Below are 19448 nucleotides of genomic sequence, written 5' to 3'. Positions count from 1 at the left end.
TCAGAAAACTCGATTTGAGGTATCTGTGGAACAGGAAAATAATCTCACTTTGCTAAACACAGTAGACAAACACTAAGACAATTAACCAAAAACAACTAGAATACATATCAAAATACTGCAGGAAAGCTACAATCACCTAGTTTTTGTGATAAAATTAATAGCAAAACAGGAAAGCCTCGAGACAGAAGTGTTCTAAGAAAGGAGACCACAGTCAAACAGTGTTATCCAGTGTGATAGCAATTAAAACTTCACTGCAGGCTGCATTTTTCATTTGTATGTTAGAAGTGAAAAAGAAGATAAGGAGCTCCTTATAAACCGTACTCTTCAGTGAATTACAGTAAGTTTTCAGTACAACAGCTCAAAAGTAAATACAACCAAAATAATCCCTCACAATTTACAGTGATTCTAATCCTCCCAGTAGTTTAATATATGTATATTTTCAGGATAACTACCCTATAAAATACACATTTATGAGAACTGTACCCAATGCTTCCTGTTTTAAACCAACACCAACTTCATAAGTATGACAGTTTTGTACTTTAAGATACTTTATATCATAAACTAAGCAGTGGTAACTTTTAATCTCCCTTTTTGTAAAAGCTTTCCTTTCCTTTAATAAACTTGTTTTTTAAAACATGCTCTATACCCTCATTCCTTTTTACTTAATATTCCAACCTGTGAAGAATTCTCATTTCATATTTGTAAATATTTGAAAGAAAAGTAGTTTGTGGTCCTTAATAACAGGAGTCACATAAAAATTAACATAAGGAATAAGATGAAGAGTACAAAGAATAGAATACCAAATCATAAAATCAAGGAGAAGGTAAACAAGAGAAAGAGCAGTAATTCCAGGCAGCAGTTCATTGAGGAAAAGAGGTATAGTAGTTAACTGTTCCTTTACAGCTAGGGCACACCATAACACTTGGAGATGGCATGCTTCTGCCTAGGTGATGGTAGCTCTATACCTCATTATGTGTCTGTCTATTGTTTAGGAGATATAAGACACAGGCACAAAATGTGTACAATGCCATAGAAGAGAAAGACAATACAAAGAAGTCACTTAAGTCTACATACAAGATGAAAGAGAAATATCTTTTATGTATGTGTGCTTCTCCTCTTCTTCCTCAGCATATTTGTTAATGAAAATGGTGCTCTAGCTCTGCAAGTTATAAGATTAATCAATGTGCATATATGCATCTATCCAAAATCTCAAAATACAAACACAGAAAAACATAAATGTACTCAAGCTCATATTTCAAATGAGTTAGATTTCACATCTAGATATTCACATCTTCCTGAATAATCTGAATGTCTTATTAACATGGCTGTCTTACTAGAAGCATTACTCTTTTATTCCTACTGCCTAAAAATATAACAGACACATAGGCATACTTTGAAGATGTAACAAAGAAGCTAGAAGGACTTGAGAATCCCAAAGACAAGCATTGCTGAACTCATGATGCTTAAAGCATATCCAATGTATGTGGTCAAAATAGTACACTTCCAACATACAAAATGCTTTTAGCTACGCAGACTTAACATTAGGTAGTCACGAAAAATAAAACAAAGGAAGTATATAGCTACTTGGAATGTGCATGTATGTATGTATTTTCACTCATGGAATAGCTCCAGTCTATGCTAGTGAGTTCCAGATCATCATCCTACACCTAAAGGAATAACTTACTCAGTTCACAGAAGAAACAAAAGGGACTTTTCAGGCTCTTTTTCCCCTCCTAATTTCCAGTAAGGATACATGTGAAAAATATAATCAAGAAAAAAGGGAGAGGGAATGCAAGGAACAAGGGAAGAGGTAATAACTTCATCAGGAAATAAATTTAGTGAGAGCTCTGAATTAAAACAAATGGATTGATTTCTTTATTTTAGCCAAAAACAAAAAAGTTTTATTGATGATGATGGTAGTAGCCAGCATTTATTGAGCACACGCTGTAATACTGGGCACTGGACTAAACACTTTACATATACTAGGTATTTAGTCTTCATAAAAATTGTGTAGATAGATACTATTACCTATATTTTACAGATAAAGAAACTGAGAATCAAAGATTAAGTAATTTGCCTGAGGTTACACTACACTAAACTGCAGAGCACACAGTAGTCCCCCTGCCCACTGTGGGGGGATGCATTCCAAAACTCCCAGTGGAGGCCTGAAACCATGGATAGTACTAAACCCAATATATACTGTTTTTTCCCATATATACAAACCTATGATAAAGTTTAATTTATAAATTAGGCACTGTAAGAGATTAACAACAATAATAATAAAATAGAACAACTACAACAACATAGTGTAATAAAGTTATGTGGACGTGGTCTCTTTCTCTCATCTTACTGTACTGTACTCACCTATTTCAAACGGCAGTTGACCGCGGGTAACTGAAACTATGGAAAGTGAAACTGCACATAAAGGGAAACCACCAGACATACTCTAATAGCTTGACTCTAACCACTAAGTTCATATTACGTTCCAGTGAAAATGTGTGAAATAAAATGATACTTTTGAAACACTGTAATAAACTAATACATTATATGTAAGACTCAAGTCAATTCCACAGAATTTTATAGTCATATAATCTGGGCTAGATACTTCTTAAAGAAGCCAGAAACCTGCATAATAGAATGAATAGCGAAAGTTTTAACAAAAAAGTAATAATATTCCCATCCTTCAATTCCTGTTATAAATAATAACATTTCTTCCATTATTCTATTATCATTCAGTCACTGTAATCTCCTGCCTCAGATCTTCTCTAATACCTCATTCTCAATTCTATTTTGTCTTAAGATGAGATAGTCTTATCTACTTAGGAGGAAAAAGTCACTCCCCCTTTTCTACCTTAAAAGATAATCCATTACAGTATAAAATATGATAAAAAGCTCTTATCATATCTGAAAGATATATTTCCCTATATGCCGCAGTAACAAAAAGTATTTCATAGCAATGCTTTGATCTTTAATAATCACGTTCAAGTTGTTCTGAAATTAATAATAAAGTAAAATCCTGTGGTATAAAAAAAATTGTAGGCCGGGCGCGGTGGCTCACGCCTGTAATCCCAGCACTTTGGGAGGCTGAGGGGGGTGGATCACAAGGTCAGGGGATCGAGACCATCCTGGCTAACACGGTGAAACCCCATCTCTACTAAAAATACAAAAAATTAGCCGGACAAGGTGGCAGGCGCCTGTAGTCCCAGCTACTCGGGAGGCTGAGGCAGGAGAATGGCGTGAACCCCAGGGGGCGGAGCCTGCAGTGAGCCGAGATCGCGCCACTGCACTCCAACCTGGGCGACAGCAAGACACCGTCTCAAAAAAAATAAATAAATTGTATTTCTCAAAAGCTGGGATTTAAACACATGCAGGCATACTATACTACTACACACACAAAAACACAATTCAGGTCACCATCATATTTATTGTTCCAGGCTCTAGCTGGACAACAAACAATATTCTCTCTACCACATATATTCAGCTTAAAACATGAAACACTCAGGAATATCTGCAAATACCTAAAACATTAAAATCATAATTTTATATGGTCTTCAACAATTTTTTTTCACTGCAGAATTTAAAAGAAGACATTATGAAATGTTTTTGTAAGAAAGGCACCTTGCAAGATAAGCTATTTCTGTCAAAAAAGATCCACTTATTAATAACTGTTTAACTGAATTATGTTTAAATTCTAAATCCAGAGAGCAAAGACTGCTAAGAATAAAAAGTTTAAGTCCTAACAAACAAAATACATCCTTTTAATGGGATACCATTTCTTACCTTTGAATCTTCATTGTTCACTCCGAGTTGTAACACAGCTTGAGGAGATTTTAGTTTTGCTTGAGCAGAGTGAGCCATCTGAAGGTTAAGCTGCCATCCAACGGTCTCTAGCTATAAAAGACAGGTGCAGATTGGAATCAGATGGTACAGAAGGAAGAAAACAGTCAACTTTAAGCAAATCTCCACTCAGCAGGAATGTATATGGATAGCCTAGGCTTCACAGAAAGTCAGTTCCAGGGCTCTTTTAACCTGCATACTCTGCGAATTCTCCCTTTGGGCTTATTAGATTGGCCTCCTGCCACGCCTGTCAAATTTAACAGCAAAAGTCATCTTTAAATATACTCTATTCTAAAAATAAAAAATTCTAATACCAAGCAATGAAATATATTAAAAGAGCCAATGGTTTTTAAATATTAAATAGTAAATTACTATTTTAAAATAGTATTTTTTAAAACTAATGATTTTTAAATAGTTACAAATTTCAACTAGTAAATTGCATAAATTGGTGAAAAGCACTTTAATGACTTCCCACTATCTTCCAAAATCTTTGCGTAGGTACTATACAGGTAAGATTTGCTTTTTTTCTTTTTAATTTAGAGGGAAACTAAAGTATCCAGATGGTAAGAGGTTCACACCTTTAGACACAATGAGATTGAAACAGGCAGAGAATTGATATCTACTACCCAGCAAGTGTTACGCAACAGACTATCATACTTTCCAAGGTACTCTTACTATCGTTCCCAGTTATGACAGAAACTAATCAGAACATTTCCTTTGAATTTATTAGTTAATACAACAGCAAAATTTTAATCAAGTAAGACAAAAATAGTAAAGGAAGACTAAGGCAGAGTAACTTTTCTTATAAAGTATTGAGCACAGATGTGACTTTATACTGAACTTCACAGCTCTATGGTGCCTCCAGCTTCAGAAGTGTAAGGTTTTAGATTTAATTTCCTGTAAATCTCAAGTATCAATATTTAGGGAAGTTTTGTGAAATGCAATTGTCATATGCCTCTGAGAACATGACCCTAATAATAGATTTAGTAAAACTACCTTAGCAATACTGGGTAAGAATGGCAGGCTCACAATTTTTCCTTGACTAGAATACTAATCACTTAATTTGAAAGACTGTTCAACAGCTAGAATCACAGCAGTGACTCAAAGCCAAGTTGGAAAGACAGCAATGGAAGTATTATCTATTTGAGAGAGGATGTGATGAGAAAATAAAGATACAGTTCTGTTCCTTCTGGCACTAAGCCTTTTAGAGGTTATGGGTAAAAAGAAGGAAGATGTTGTAGAGATATAATCTATAATATCTCTATAATAACTAATAAAAAATCAATTTCATGGTACATGTTAAGTAAGGATTCTTTACATACTGATCTTTAACACTGATTACAGCAAGCATAGTCTCTGATACCAGCCTGCCACTATTATCAAGTCCCATGCAATAGACTCTCCAATAAAATAGGAATAAATGTCATAACCATTCTCATATATAAAAAAGCACTGGCATACATGCCGTCTTAATTGAAAAGCACTTTCTAGGTATTTATATAGACCTGTAAAATGTTGCATTTACCTTATTTAATTGATCCTATCCCTCTCCATTAGGCACTTAACATAACTAATGAAGAGAGATATCAAGTGAATAAATTAAAACTCACACCCCACTGTGATCAGGCCTTGATATTAACTAATGTATGCTTAGGCACTGCATAGAGATGATGCAGACAAATTAAAAAGAACCCTATATTTGAAGTTTATGATTTGGTTCATGCTTAAACTATCACCAGCTATGTGACCGTGGCTAAGCCACAATCTTTCAAGATCTCAATTTCCTCATATAAAATGGAAATAAATCCATCTGAACTACCTACTTTTCTGGGTTACTGATAATATCCAATAACATGCACACCTAAAGGATTTTGGAAACTATAAAGTATTATAAATATAAGGCATTTTGGTCACCTAATTTGTTCTACAGTATCTTCTAAATATTTTTCAAATATTTTCCAAAATTCATGACTCATTTCAGATTCTCATCATCCACATATTCCCAGACTATCACAATAGTCTTCTAACTGGGCTACCTGCCTCCTATAGAACCTCGTCCCATCATCCCACTTCCCTTCTTAAAATTCTCCAATAGCTCCTTACTACCTACAAAATAAAATCCAAACTCTATATACAAAACCCCTCAGGATGGGATAACAACCTTTCCACTCCTACGTTCTAAAACATATTACTAATTATCTATAATTTAGCCACAGTGAAACAAATAAGATTCCCAAAACATACTATGCTGTTTCACATGCCTCTTCTTTGACTCCAGTGTCACCTCCTCTGTTATTTTTTCCTTTCCCTTCCCTCTGTAGTCTGCTACTCTGTTCCCTCAGCACTCTGCATCTTTCTCTATTAACATTTAGATCAGTGTATTGCAATAATTTGTCTACATGTCTATCTCCTCAGAGTAGAGTGCAATCTCCATTAGGAGACAGCTGGAGTCTTATTCACCTTTATATCCTTGTGACCTACAACAGCCTCTGACAGAGTCAACACTAAAGATTCCTCTCAGACAAGTGATCAATCACATAACATATACAAACTTTCAAGGAGAAGTATTCACATGAAAATGAATGTATGAAAGAGGAAGAAAAAAAGTTGTATTTCCACTTGGCTATGGCTTTGGTAGGAGGCAGGACTGCAACCTATAGAGCTAATATTTGGTTGGTTCTTCACATACACATACATACATACATACATACATACACACATACACACACACACACATACCCCTCCCACCTGTCACACATACAATATTATCTGCAGGCCAAAGCATGTCCAGAAATCCTTTTTATAATGAGTAAACATTACCCTAGCTTTCATTTGGTTTGCTAAAGTAGCAGCTGAGTGTGGGCTGTGAAGTTCCATACTAATTGACCTTAAGCAAGTTACATATTCTATTCACCTCTTTGGGCCTCGATATTCTCATCTGCAAAATGGACACAATAAGACCTGCCTCACTAAGTTGTAAAGGGTTAAATGATACATTGTCAAATATTGAGTTAGTGGCACCTCCTTTCCCAATTTCTCCAATTAAGTGTTCTGTCCAATCAGTATATTCTTTCCCCAACTAGATACGTGTATATTTGTAATATTGCCATGAGTTAGCCTTCTTTGTTGATATTATAAATTGTCTTTGGAAAATACTACTCAAAATATATATCATCACACAAGAAACTATCAAGTATTTTGATTTTAAAACTACAAACAAAATTGCATATTTTAAATATTTACAATGTTATACTTATTATGTTCATTTTAGAAAATTATTAGAAAGCCATCTGACAAAAGGATACAACTCTAATTTTAAAAGTTACTAACTAGAGATAGGTACACAAAGGCTAGCCTGCAAACCTCATGTTAATCAAGACTGTGTTACTCATTCACAAAACTCCTTAGCCATGTGGCTAGAAGAAAGGACAAATTAGAGTCGCCACTTAAATATTTTGGGTCACAGACTATTTGATAACTGAATGAAAAGTATAGAAACTTGTCTCAGAAAAACGCATACACATTCACTAATTTTGGATAATTGCATCAAATTTTGAAAGACTCATTCACTACCCACTCCCTAAGTAGAGGACTAAATAACTTCTAGATTACAGTTTCTTTGGCCTCAACTAACAGTAAGAATGACTGACATAACAAACGTCCAGAAGACGGAGAAGCAGGGTCAATAAATTAACAAACTGTATTCTCAGTCCCCGGATAACAGAAAACTAATAAGTGAACTGTGTCACTACTTGCCTCACTTTATTTTCTTAGGGCTTTTTGCCATCTATCATAACATATAGTATTTATTTGCTTGCTGACTACCACCTAAGATTCTAAACTCCTTGAGAACAAAGGATTTTGCCCTTTTTATCAGTGCTATACCCGGAGCACTTAAAATAATGTCCCGCATACAGTAAGCACATTCTACATCTATCTGTAGAATTGAATTGAAATAAATTAAAGAGTATGCACAAGGAAAGTAATTTTTAAAAGAGTCATGACTAAAAGTATTCATGGATTGGCTTTCTTAATTTCCAGAGCCTTTTCTATTAAACTTTGTCATTGAAAAATATTTGTTCCATGGCCATATGACAGAGTAATAAAAAAAGTAAATAAAATTGCTGACCTCATATGTGTTTGTGCATGCAAACACCCACACACACAGCTTCACAGAGAATAATCAGTATTCAGAAAGCTTAAATGAATAGAAAATATAGAAAGGATAACTATTATTACAAACTAATACTTAATAGCTATATAATACTATACTACATAGCACAGTATATATACTATACTATATATACTAATATATATTATATAGTATATAGTATATATATACTAATGTATATTATATAGTATATAGTATATATATATACTGTATATCACATAGTATATAGTATATATATACACTAATGTATATTACATAGTATATAGTATATATATACTAATGTATATTACATTAGTATATAGTATATATATACTAATGTATATTACATTAGTATATAGTATATATATACTAATGTATATTACATTAGTATATAGTATATATATACTAATGTATATTACATTAGTATATAGTATATATATACTAATGTATATTACATTAGTATATAGTATATATATACTAATGTATATTACATTAGTATATAGTATATATATACTAATGTATATTACATTAGTATATAGTATATATATACTAATGTATATTACATAGTATATAGTGTATATATACTAATATATATAAAATACTATAGTATATAGCATATATATACTATACTATATATACAAAAAAGAAGACAAAGAAAACTAACAACCCTGTGAGACAGGTAACGCTTATTACCCCCATTTTACAGATTAAAAACGTAAAACAAATGTAAACAATTGGTGAATCAGGATAAAGAATATATGGGGCTTCCTTACATCATTATGGCAACTTCTCTGTAAGTTTAAAATTATATAAATTATATCAAAATCAAAAGTTACAAGAAGTTCAATCAAGTAAGAATCATCAGTAGATACTGAATCAAAGTGGAGAAAGTCTCACGTGGAATTGTATGTTTACATAGTCACAAAGTATCTACCCACGACTGCTCTTTATTTATAAAAGAAAAGAGTAGTGATACAGTGGAGAACCTCACCTTACCCAAGGGATCAAAATTAACATTATCAAAAAGTGGCTAATGAACATCAAGCACCTGTAGGTGTGATATTCTGCAAAAGTCACAACGTCACTTACACAGTATTCTAACCAAAAAATCACAATCTAAATCTGATCATGAATTAACAACAGAAAAATAAAAATTGAGGGATACGCCATAAAATAAGTGGCACGTATACTTCAGAAATATCAATGTCCTAAAAGCAAAGGGAATAAATAATTCCTTACATTGTTTAGAATATATTCTTATATTATTTGCCAGACCTATAGTAGGCATTGCTGACATAAACAAGATACAGTTACTATACAAAGATGAAAAATCTCATACCATTTAATTATTCCTGAGACTCATAACTAAGCAAATAAGACAATCACCAATATTTTAGTTACATGTGAAATAAAACCCAGTATAGAGTTTTGCCTTAAGTTAGCTAATTATATTTGCTTCTATTTAAAATAAAACTATCCTGTGTACATCATATCAATGAATTATATTAATGTAATTTCTTTATTATTTCATATTCAAATTTAAATCTGAGGGTCCTTACACTTTAATGTCCTAGGTTTAAATATGATCAAAATAATATAAAACACAGGAAAATAAGCCACTAATATTTATAATGGTTTTCAACCCATGCCAAAACTGTTAACACAGTAGTTAGGCATCTCACTTACATTACCTTTTACCTGAGAATGTTACTAAAATGTCACCTCAAAATATTATAACTTCAATATAATCTTAAATTCTTACAATTACTCTGTAAACCAAAATTCTAAGCACATCTCAAATTAGACAAAATTACTACATTAACTCCTCAAAATAGGAAAAGAAAATGTAAATTTACCAGCTAAATTTTTACTAGAAGCTCTCTAAAAACAGCAGCATTAAAGTTTTTTCGACTATGTCCCACAGCAAGAATACTTTTTATGCTGCGAACTGACACACATACACAAAGGTTTCACAAAACAATTTTTATCCAGAGCAGTCTTCTCTGATAATCTGTTATGTTTCCCACCTTTTTTATTATTATTATTATTATACTTTAAGTTCTAGGGTACATGTGCACAACGTGCAGGTTTGTGACATATGTATACATGTGCCATGTTGGTGTGCTGCACCCGTTAACATGTCATTTACACTAGGTATATCTCCTACTGCTATCCCTCCTCCTTCCCCCCACCACAAGACAGGCCCCAGTGTGTGATGTTCTCCACCCTGTGTCCAAGTGTTCTCATTGTTCAACTCCCACCTATGAGTGAGAACATGCAGTGTTTGGTTTTCTGTCCTTGCGATAATTTGCTCAGAATGATGGTTTCTAGCTTCATCCATGTCTCTACAAAGGACATGAACTCATCCTTTTTTATGGCTGCATAGTATTCCATGGTGTATATGTGCCACATTTTCTTAATCCAGTCTATCATTGACGGAAATTTGGGTTGCTTCCAAGTCTTTGCTATTGAGAATAGTGCCACTATAAACATGCGTGTGCATGTGTCTTTATAGCAGCATGATTTATAATCCTTTGGGTATATACCTAGTAATGGGATGGCTGGGTCACATGGTATTTCTAGTTCTAGATCTTTGAGGAATCGCCACACTGTCTTCCACGATGGTTGAACTAGTTTACACTCCCACCAAAGGTGTAAAAGCATTGCTATTTCTCCACATCCTCTTCAGCACCTGTTGTTTCCTGACTTTTTAATGATCGCCATTCTAACTGGTGTGAGGTGGTATCTCATTGTGGTTTTGATTTGCATTTCTCTGATGGCCAGTGATGATGAACATTTTTTCATGTGTCTGTTGGCTGCATAAATGTCTTCTTTTGAGAAGTGTCTGTTCATATCCTTTGCCCACTTTTTGATGGGGTTGTTTGATTTTCTCTTGTAAATTTGTTCAAGTTCTTTGTAGATTCTGGATATTAGCCCTTTGTCAGTTGGGTAGATTGTAAAAATTTTCTCCTATTCTGTAGGTTGCCTGTTCACTCTGATGGTAGTTTCTTTTGCTGTGCAGAAGCTCTTTAGTTTAATTAGATCCCATCAGTCAATTTTGGCTTTTGTTGCCATTGCTTTTGGTGTTTTAGACATGAAGTCCTTGCCCATGCCTATGGCCTGAATGGTATTGCCTAGGTTTCCTCCTAGGGTTTTTATGGTTTTAGGTCTAATTTTTAAGTCTTTAAACTATCTTGAATTAATTTTTGTATAAGGTGTAAGGAAGGGATCCAGTTTCAGCTTTCTACATATGGCTAGCCTGTTTTCCCAGCAACATTTATTAAATAGGGAATCCTTTCCCCATTTCTTGTTTTTGTCAGGTTTGTCAAAGATCAGATGGTTGTAGATGTGTGGTATTATTTCCAAGGGCTGTACTCTGTTCCATTGGTCTATATCTCTGTTTTGGTACCAGTACCATGCTGTTTTGGTTACTGTAGCCTTGTAGTATAGTTTGAAGTCCGGTAATGTGATGCTTCCAGCTTTGTTCTTTTTGCTTAGGATTGACTTGGCAATGAGGGCTCTTTTTTGGTTCCATATGAACTTTAAAGTAGTTTTTTCCAATTCTGTGAAGAAAGTCATTGGTAGTTTGATGGGGATGGCATTGAATCTATAAATTACCTTGGGCAGTATGGCCATTTTCATGATATCGATTCTTCCTATTCATGAGCATGGAATGTTCTTCCATTTGTTTGTGTCCTCTTTCATTTCGTTGAGCAGTGGTTTGTAGTTCTCCTTGAAGAGGTCCTTCACATCCCTTGTAAGCTGGATTCCTAGGTATTTTATTCTCTTTGAAGCAATTGTGAATGGGAGTTCACTCGTCATTTGGATCTCTGTTTGTTATTGGCGTATAGGAATGCCTGTGATTTTTGCACACTGATTTTGTATCCTAAGACTTTGCTGAAGTTGCTTATCAGCTTAAGGAGATTTTGGGCTGAGACAATGGGGTTTTCTAAATATACAATCATCTCATCTGCAAACAGGGAAAATTTGACTTCTTCTTTTCCTAACTGAATACCCTTTATTTCTTTCTCTTTCCTGCTTGGCCTGGCCAGAACTTCCAACACTATGCTGAACAGGAGTGGTGAGAGAGGGCATCCCTGTCTTGTGCCAGTTTTCAAAGAGAATGCTTCCAGTTTTTGCCCATTCAGTATGAAAGGGTATCAGTGACTGACGATCAAATGAATGAAATGAAGCGAGAAGTTTAGAGAAAAAAGAATAAAAAGAAACGAACAAAGCCTTCAAAAAATATGGGACTATGTGAAAAGACCAAATCTATATCTGATTGGTGCACCTGAAAGTGACAGGGAGAATGGAACCAAGTTGGAAAACACTCTGCAGGATATTATCCAGGAGAACTTCCCCAAGCTAGCAAGGCAGACCAACATTCAAATTCAGGTAATACAGAGAACGCCACAAAGATACTCCTGGAGAAGAGCAACTCCAAGTCACATAATTGTCAGATTCACCAGAGTTGAAACAAAGGAAAAAATGTTAAGGGCAGCCAGAGACAAAGGTCGGGTTACCCACAAAGGGAAACCCACCAGACTAACAGCGCATCTCTCAGTAGAAACTCTACAAGCCAGAAGAGAGTGGGGGCCAATGTTCAACATTCTTAAAGAAAAGAATTTTCAACCCAGAATTTCATATCCAGCCAAAATAAACTTCATATGTGAAGGAGAAATAAAATCATTTACAGACAAATGCTGACAGACTTTGTCACTACCAGGCCTGCCTTACAAGAGCTCCTGAAGGAAGCACTAAACATGGAAAGGAACAACTGGTACCAGCCACTGCAAAAACATGCCAGATTGTAAAGACCATCAATGCTAGGAAGAAACTGCATCAACTAACGAGGAAAATAACCAGGTAACATCATAACGACAGGATCAAATTCACACATAACAATATTAACGTTAAATGTAAATGGGCTAAATGTTCCAATTAAGAGACACAGACTGACACAAGACACTCAACAGTGTGCTGTATTCAGGAGAACCACTTCACGTGCAGAGACACACATAGGTTCAAAATAAAGGGATAGAGGAAGATCTACCAAGCAAATGGAAAGCAAAAATAAAGGAGGGGTTGCAATCCTAGTCTCTGATAAAACAGACTTTAAACAAAGATCAAAAGAGACAAAGAAGGCCATTGCATAATGGTAAAGGGATCAATTCAACAAGAAGAGCTAACTATCCTAAATATATATGTACCCAATACAGGAGCACCCAGATTCATAAAGCAAGTCCTTATAGACCTACAAAGAGACTTAGACTCCCATACAATAACAATGGGAGACTTTAACACCCCACTGTTAAAATTAGACAGATCAATGAGACAGAAGGTTAACAAGCATATCCAGGACTTCAACTCAGCTCTGCATCAAGCAGACCTAATAGACATCTACAGAACTCTCCACCCCAAATCAACAGAATATACATTCTTCTCAGCACCGCATCGCAATTATTCCAGAATTGACCACATAGTTGGAAGTAAAGCACTCCTCAGCCAATGTAAAAGAACAGAAATCACAACAAACTGTCTCTCAGACCACAGTGCAATCAAACTAGAACTCAGGATTAAGAAACTCACTTAAAACTGCATAAGTACATGGAAACTGAACAATCTGCTCCTGAATGACTACTGGGTAAGTAACGAAATGAAGGCAGAAATAAAGATGTTCTTTGAATCCAATAAGAACAAAGACACAATGTACCAGAATCTCTGGGACACAATTATAGCAGTATGTAGAAGGAAATTTATAGCACTAAATGCCCACAAGAGAAAGATGGACAGATCTAAAACTGACACCCTAACATCACATTTAAAGGAACTAGAGAAGCAAAAGCAAACAAATTCAAAAGCTAGCAGAAGGCAAGAAATAACTAAGATCAGAGCAAAACTGAAGGAGACAGAGACAGAAAAAAACCCTTCAAAACATCAATGAATCCAGAAACCAGTTTTTTGAAAAGATCAACAAAATTGATAGACTGCTGGCAAGATTAATAAAGAAGAAAAGCGAGAAGAATCAAATAGATAAAAAAAAATGATAAAGGGGATATCACCACCAATCCCACAGAAATGCAAACTACCATCAGAGAATACTATAAACACCTCTATGCAAATAAACTAGAAAATCTAGAAGAAATGGATAAATTCCTGGACACATACACCCTCCCAAGACTACACCAGAAAGAAGTTGAATCTCTGAATAGACCAATAACAGGCTCTGAAATTAAGGAAATAATTAATAGCCTGCCAACCAAAAAAAGCCAAGGACCAGACAGATTCATAGCTGAAATCTACCAGAGGTACAAGGAGGAGCTGGTACCATTCCTTCTGAAACTATTCCAAACAACAGAAAAAGAGGGAATCCTCCCTAACTCATTTTATGAGGCCAGCATCATCTTGATACCAAAGCCTGACAGAGACACGACAAAAAAAGAGAACTTTAGACCAATATCCCTGATGAACATTGATGCAAAAATCCTCAATAAAATACTGGCAAACCGAATCCAGCAGCACGTCAAAAAGTTTATCCACCACAATCAAGTCGGCTTCATCCCTGGGATACAAGGCTGGTTCAACATACGCCAATCAATAAACGTAATCCATCACATAAATAGAAACAACAACAAAAACCACATGATTATCTCAGTAGATGCAGGAAAGGCCTTCGACAAAATTCAACAGCCCTTCATGCTAAAATCACTCAATAAATTAGGTATCGATGGTATTAGAGGTATTAGATTCCATTTGTATTAGTTTCCATTGGCTTTTGTTGGAATAAACTAGGTATTGATGGTATTCCAATAAACTAAGTATTGATTATCTCAAAATAATAAGAGCTATTTATGACAAACCCACAGCCAATATCATATCAAATGGGCAAAAACTAGAAGCATTCCCTTTGAAAACTAGCACAAGACAGGGATGCCCTTTCTCACCACTCCTATTCAACATAGTGTTGGAAGTTCTGGCCAGGGCAAGCAGGCAAGAGAAAGAAATAAAGGGTATTCAGTTAGGAAAAGAGGAAGTCAAACTGTCCCCGTTTGCAGATGACATGACTGTATATTTAGAAAACCCCATCGTCTCAGCCCAAAATCTCCTTAAGCTGATAAGCAATTTCAGCAAAGTCTCAGGATACAAAATCAATATGCAAAAACCACAAGCATTTCTATATGCCAATAACAGACAGAGAGCCAAATCATGAGTGAACTCCCATTCACAATTGCTTCAAAGAGAATAAAATACCTAGGAATCCAGCTTACAAGGGATGTGAAGGACCTCTTCAAGGAGAACTACAAACCACTGCTCAATGAAATAAAAGAGGACACAAACAAATGGAAGAGCATTCCATGCTCATGGATAGGAAAAATCAATATCATGAAAATGGCCATACTGCCCAAGGTAATTTATAGATTCAATGCCATCCCCATCAAACTACCAATGACTTTCTTCACAGAATTGGAAAAACTACTTTAAAGTTCATATGGAACCAAAAAAGAGCCCTCATTGCCAAGTCAATCCTGAGCAAAAAGAACAAAGCTGGAGGCATCACGTTACCGGACTTCAAACTATACTACAAGGCTACAGTAACCAAAACAGCATGGTACTGGTACCAAAACAGAGATACAGACCAATGGAACAGAACAGAGGCCTCAGAAATAACACCACACATCTACAACCATCTGATCTTTGACAAACCTGACAAAAACAAGAAATGGGGAAAGGATTCCCTATTTAATAAATGGTGCTGGGAAAACAGGCTAGCCATATGTAGAAAACTAAAACTGGATCCCTTCCTTACACCTTATACAAAAATTAATTCAAGATGGCTTACAGACTTACATGTTAGACCTAAAACATAAAAACCCTAGAAGAAAACCTAGGCAATACCATTCAGGACATAGGCATGGGCAAGGACTTCATGTCTAAAACACCAAAAGCAATGGCAACAAAAGCCAAAATAGTCAAATGGAATCTAATTAAACTAAAGAGCTTCTGCATGACAAAAGAAACTACCATCAGAGTGAACAGGCAACCTACAGAATGGGAGAAAATTTGTGCAATCTACCCATCTGAAAACGGGCTAGCATCCAGAATCTACAAAGAACTCCAACAAATTTACAAGAAAAAAACAAATAACCCCATTCAAAAAGTGGGCAAAGGATATGAACAGACACTTCTCAAAAGAAGACATCTACACAGCCAACAGACACATGAAAAAATGCTCATCATCACTGGCCATCAGAGAATGCAAATCAAAACCACAATGAGATACCATCTCATGCCAGTTAGAATGGCGATCATTAAAAAGTCAGGAAACAACAGATGCTGAAGAGGATGTGGAGAAATAGGAATGCTTTTACACTGTTGGTGGGAGTGTAAACTAGTTCAACCATCGTGGAAGACAGTGTGGCGATTCCTCAAGGATCTAGAACTAGAAATACCATGTGACCCAGCCATCCCATTACTGGGTATATACCCAAAGGATTATAAATCATGCTACTATAAAGACACATGCACATGTATGTTTACTGCGGCACTATTCTCAAAAGCAAATACTTGGAACCAACCCGAATGTCCAGCAATGATAGACTGGATTTTGAAAATGTGGCACATATACACCACGGAATACTATGCAGCCATAAAAAAGGATTAGTTCATGTCCTTTGCAGGAACATGAATGAAGCCAGAAACCATCATTCTCAGCAAACTATCACAAGGACAGAAAACCAAACACCGCATGTTCTCACTCATAGGTGGGAACTGAACAATGAGAACACTTGGACAGAGGAAGGGGAACATCACACACGGGGCCTGTCATGTGGTGGGGGGCAGGGGGAAGGAGAGCATTAGGAGAAATATCTAATGTAAATGATGAGTTAATGGGTGCGGCATAACAACATGGCACATGTATATCTATGTAACAAACCTGCACGTTGTGCATATGTATCCTAGAACTTAAAGTATAATTAAAAAAAAGAAAATATAGGCCTATACAAAAACATATACATATACACATACAAAACATATACATAAACATATACAAAAACATACAAAACATATACATAAATGTTAATCACAGATAAACATTAATTAGGTTTATTCATAATAGCCAAAACCTAGAAATAGCCCAGATATCCACAAACAGGTGAACAGATAAGCAAACTGAGGTATATCCAAATGGTAGAATACTACTCTGTAATAAAAAAAAAAAAAGTACTAATACAAGTAACAAAATGATCAGTCTCAAAATCATTATAATCAGTGTATGAAGCCAGACACATACAAAAAGTATATCTGTAAGTCCATTTATATAAAATACTAGAGAATGCCATCTATAGTGACAGAATGTAGAGCAGGGGTTGCTTGGGGCTAGGTTAGGGCAGTAAGGGACTGCAAAGGAAAATGAAACTTTTGAGGGTAATGAAAATACTCTATCTTTAAAAAAAATTTTTTTTAATTTTATTTCAATAGTTTTTGGGGTACAGGTGGTATTTGCTTACATGGGTAAGTTCTGTAGCAGTGATTTCTGAGATTTTAGTGCAACCGTCACCGAAGCAGTGTACACTGTACCCAATGTGTAGTCTTTTATCCCTCATCTTCCTCCCAACCTTGCCCCACAAATCCCCAAAGTCCATTATATCATTCTCATGCCACCACAACCTCATAGCTTAGCTCCCAATAAGGGAGAACGTAAGATATTTGGTTTTCCATTCCTGAATTACTTCATTTAGAAAACTGGCCTCCAGTGTCACCCAAGTTGCTGCAAAAAACGCTACTTCATTCCTTTTTATGGCTGAGTAGTACTCCATAGTGTATATATACCATATTTTCTTTATTCATTTGTTGGTTGATGGGCACTTAGGTTGGTTCCATATTGTTGCAATTGCAAATTGTGCCGCTATAAACATAATGCTCTGTATCTTGATTACCATGGTGATCTCATGGAAATACAGCTATCAAAATTCATGGAACCATACAATTCAAAAGAATACAGTATATACTATACAAATTATAATTATAAAACATTATTTTTTAAAGATACAAGGCAGGCACAGTGACTCACACCCGTAATCCTAGCACTTTGGGAGGCTGAGGCAGGGGGACCAATTGCTTGAGGCCAAGAGTTCAAGACCAGCCTGGGCAAAATGGCAAGACACTGTCTCTATGAAAATGTTCTTTAAAAAGTATCTAGGCATGACAGCATACACCTGTAGTCCTAGTTACTTGGGAAGCTGAGGCAGGAGGATCCCTTGAGCCTAGGAGTTTAAGGCTGCAGTGAGCTATGATCACACCACAAGCCACTGCACACTTCAGCCTGAGTGACTGAGCAAAACCCTGTCTCTGGAAAAAAAATAATAAGATGCCAGGGCCAGGGTATCAGAGATGACTGGTATACAATATATAACCTATAAAACACAGAAGTGAATATATTACCATATCCAAGTGACTGCCTACTTTCATAAGACATACTGCACAAATCTCCAACAGGGTTACCCATTAGGCAGCCTCCAGAAGACCTCAGGAGTCTGTTGCCCTCTGCAAAACTCCAAAAGTGACTAAGCCAACACATTCATTTTGGCACTCTGTACTTTTAATTTGGCTGCTACATCAAATCACAATAAGAAGTGCAAATGCCTTATTACAAACACAATTCAGGGATATTCCCTAACCAATACCCTCAAGTTTAGACACCACAAAAGTCGGCCTAGTCTCACTGTTAGGGTGACAAGGAACTTAATTATATCCCTTGACCCACAGACTTGACCAAAGTACCAAATCATAAGACTGGCCTTCATATTCAAGTTGGAGGGAAGTGAGGGAAATCATCAATGTATTTTTTTTTCAAATTGTTTGTCACCTCTGCATACCAAGAATATATGAAGATAATAGCACAAGTTTGAGGACACTGAAATGTCATTCAACAAATGTTCTCACAATTGGCAACACTCTGAAAAAGTACATCAACTCTATTTAACAAATGCACATCTTTGAATACTGTGACATAATAAGAGTGATTTTGCTAACAGCACAGTTCCCTGGCATTAACGAAATCTTCATTCAATTTGTTAATGGTTCTGGTTTCAGCCAATTACTTATGCAGTGGAGAAATACATTCTGTTTCAAATAAGACTGATTAAGGGTCTCTTAGATCTAAAGATTTTTAAATTGATTTCTGCATCAACAGCTAAGTCCATCACTTTTTTTTTTTCCTGGAGAATTTCCATCTGTTTCAACCTAAAGCAATTCTTTCTATATTTTCACTTTTAAAGAGAAAATTTTTTAAATGACTAGAATCTAGTACTCTAGCAAAATTCAAGAGCCATAAAATAAATGAACCACAAAAAGGCTTGAAGTACAACCAAAAATGAAAACACAAAAGAATATTAGGAAATACAAAATGCAGTTCATAGCCTCCTCCTTTTATTGTCCTTTCTCTGTCAATAAAAAAAAT

At 35.5% G+C, this 19448-nt stretch overlaps 1 protein-coding gene across 5 annotated transcripts in view, besides 1 other annotated feature; it reads right to left on the bottom strand.

The window, feature by feature from the left end:
- The window catches only part of COMMD10 (COMM domain containing 10), a 208263-nt gene that overhangs the window by 155329 nt on the left and 33486 nt on the right, over positions 1 to 19448 (bottom strand). For all 5 annotated transcript variants that reach the window (NR_146220.2, NR_146218.2, NR_146219.2 and 2 more), the window contains exon 5: positions 3781 to 3891. Coding sequence is in view for 2 of the 5 variants with exons in the window: in NM_016144.4 (NP_057228.1) it covers positions 3781 to 3891 (111 nt within the window). In the remaining 3 variants the exon portion in view is untranslated. The remainder of the gene's footprint in view (positions 1 to 3780; positions 3892 to 19448) is intronic.
- Positions 2305 to 2354: a silencer, noted in NCBI's record as "silent region_16257". NCBI's record gives its function as "represses an Ori minimal core promoter by ATAC-STARR-seq in GM12878 lymphoblastoid cells {active_cell/tissue: GM12878}" and the evidence as "EXISTENCE:reporter gene assay evidence [ECO:0000049][PMID:35858748]".

This window comes from Homo sapiens, chromosome 5 (genome assembly GCF_000001405.40).
Source record: "Homo sapiens chromosome 5, GRCh38.p14 Primary Assembly".
Taxonomy (NCBI): domain Eukaryota; kingdom Metazoa; phylum Chordata; class Mammalia; order Primates; family Hominidae; genus Homo; species Homo sapiens.
The sequence above is the reverse complement of the archived record's forward strand: the minus strand, read 5'-3'. Positions and strand labels throughout refer to the sequence as shown.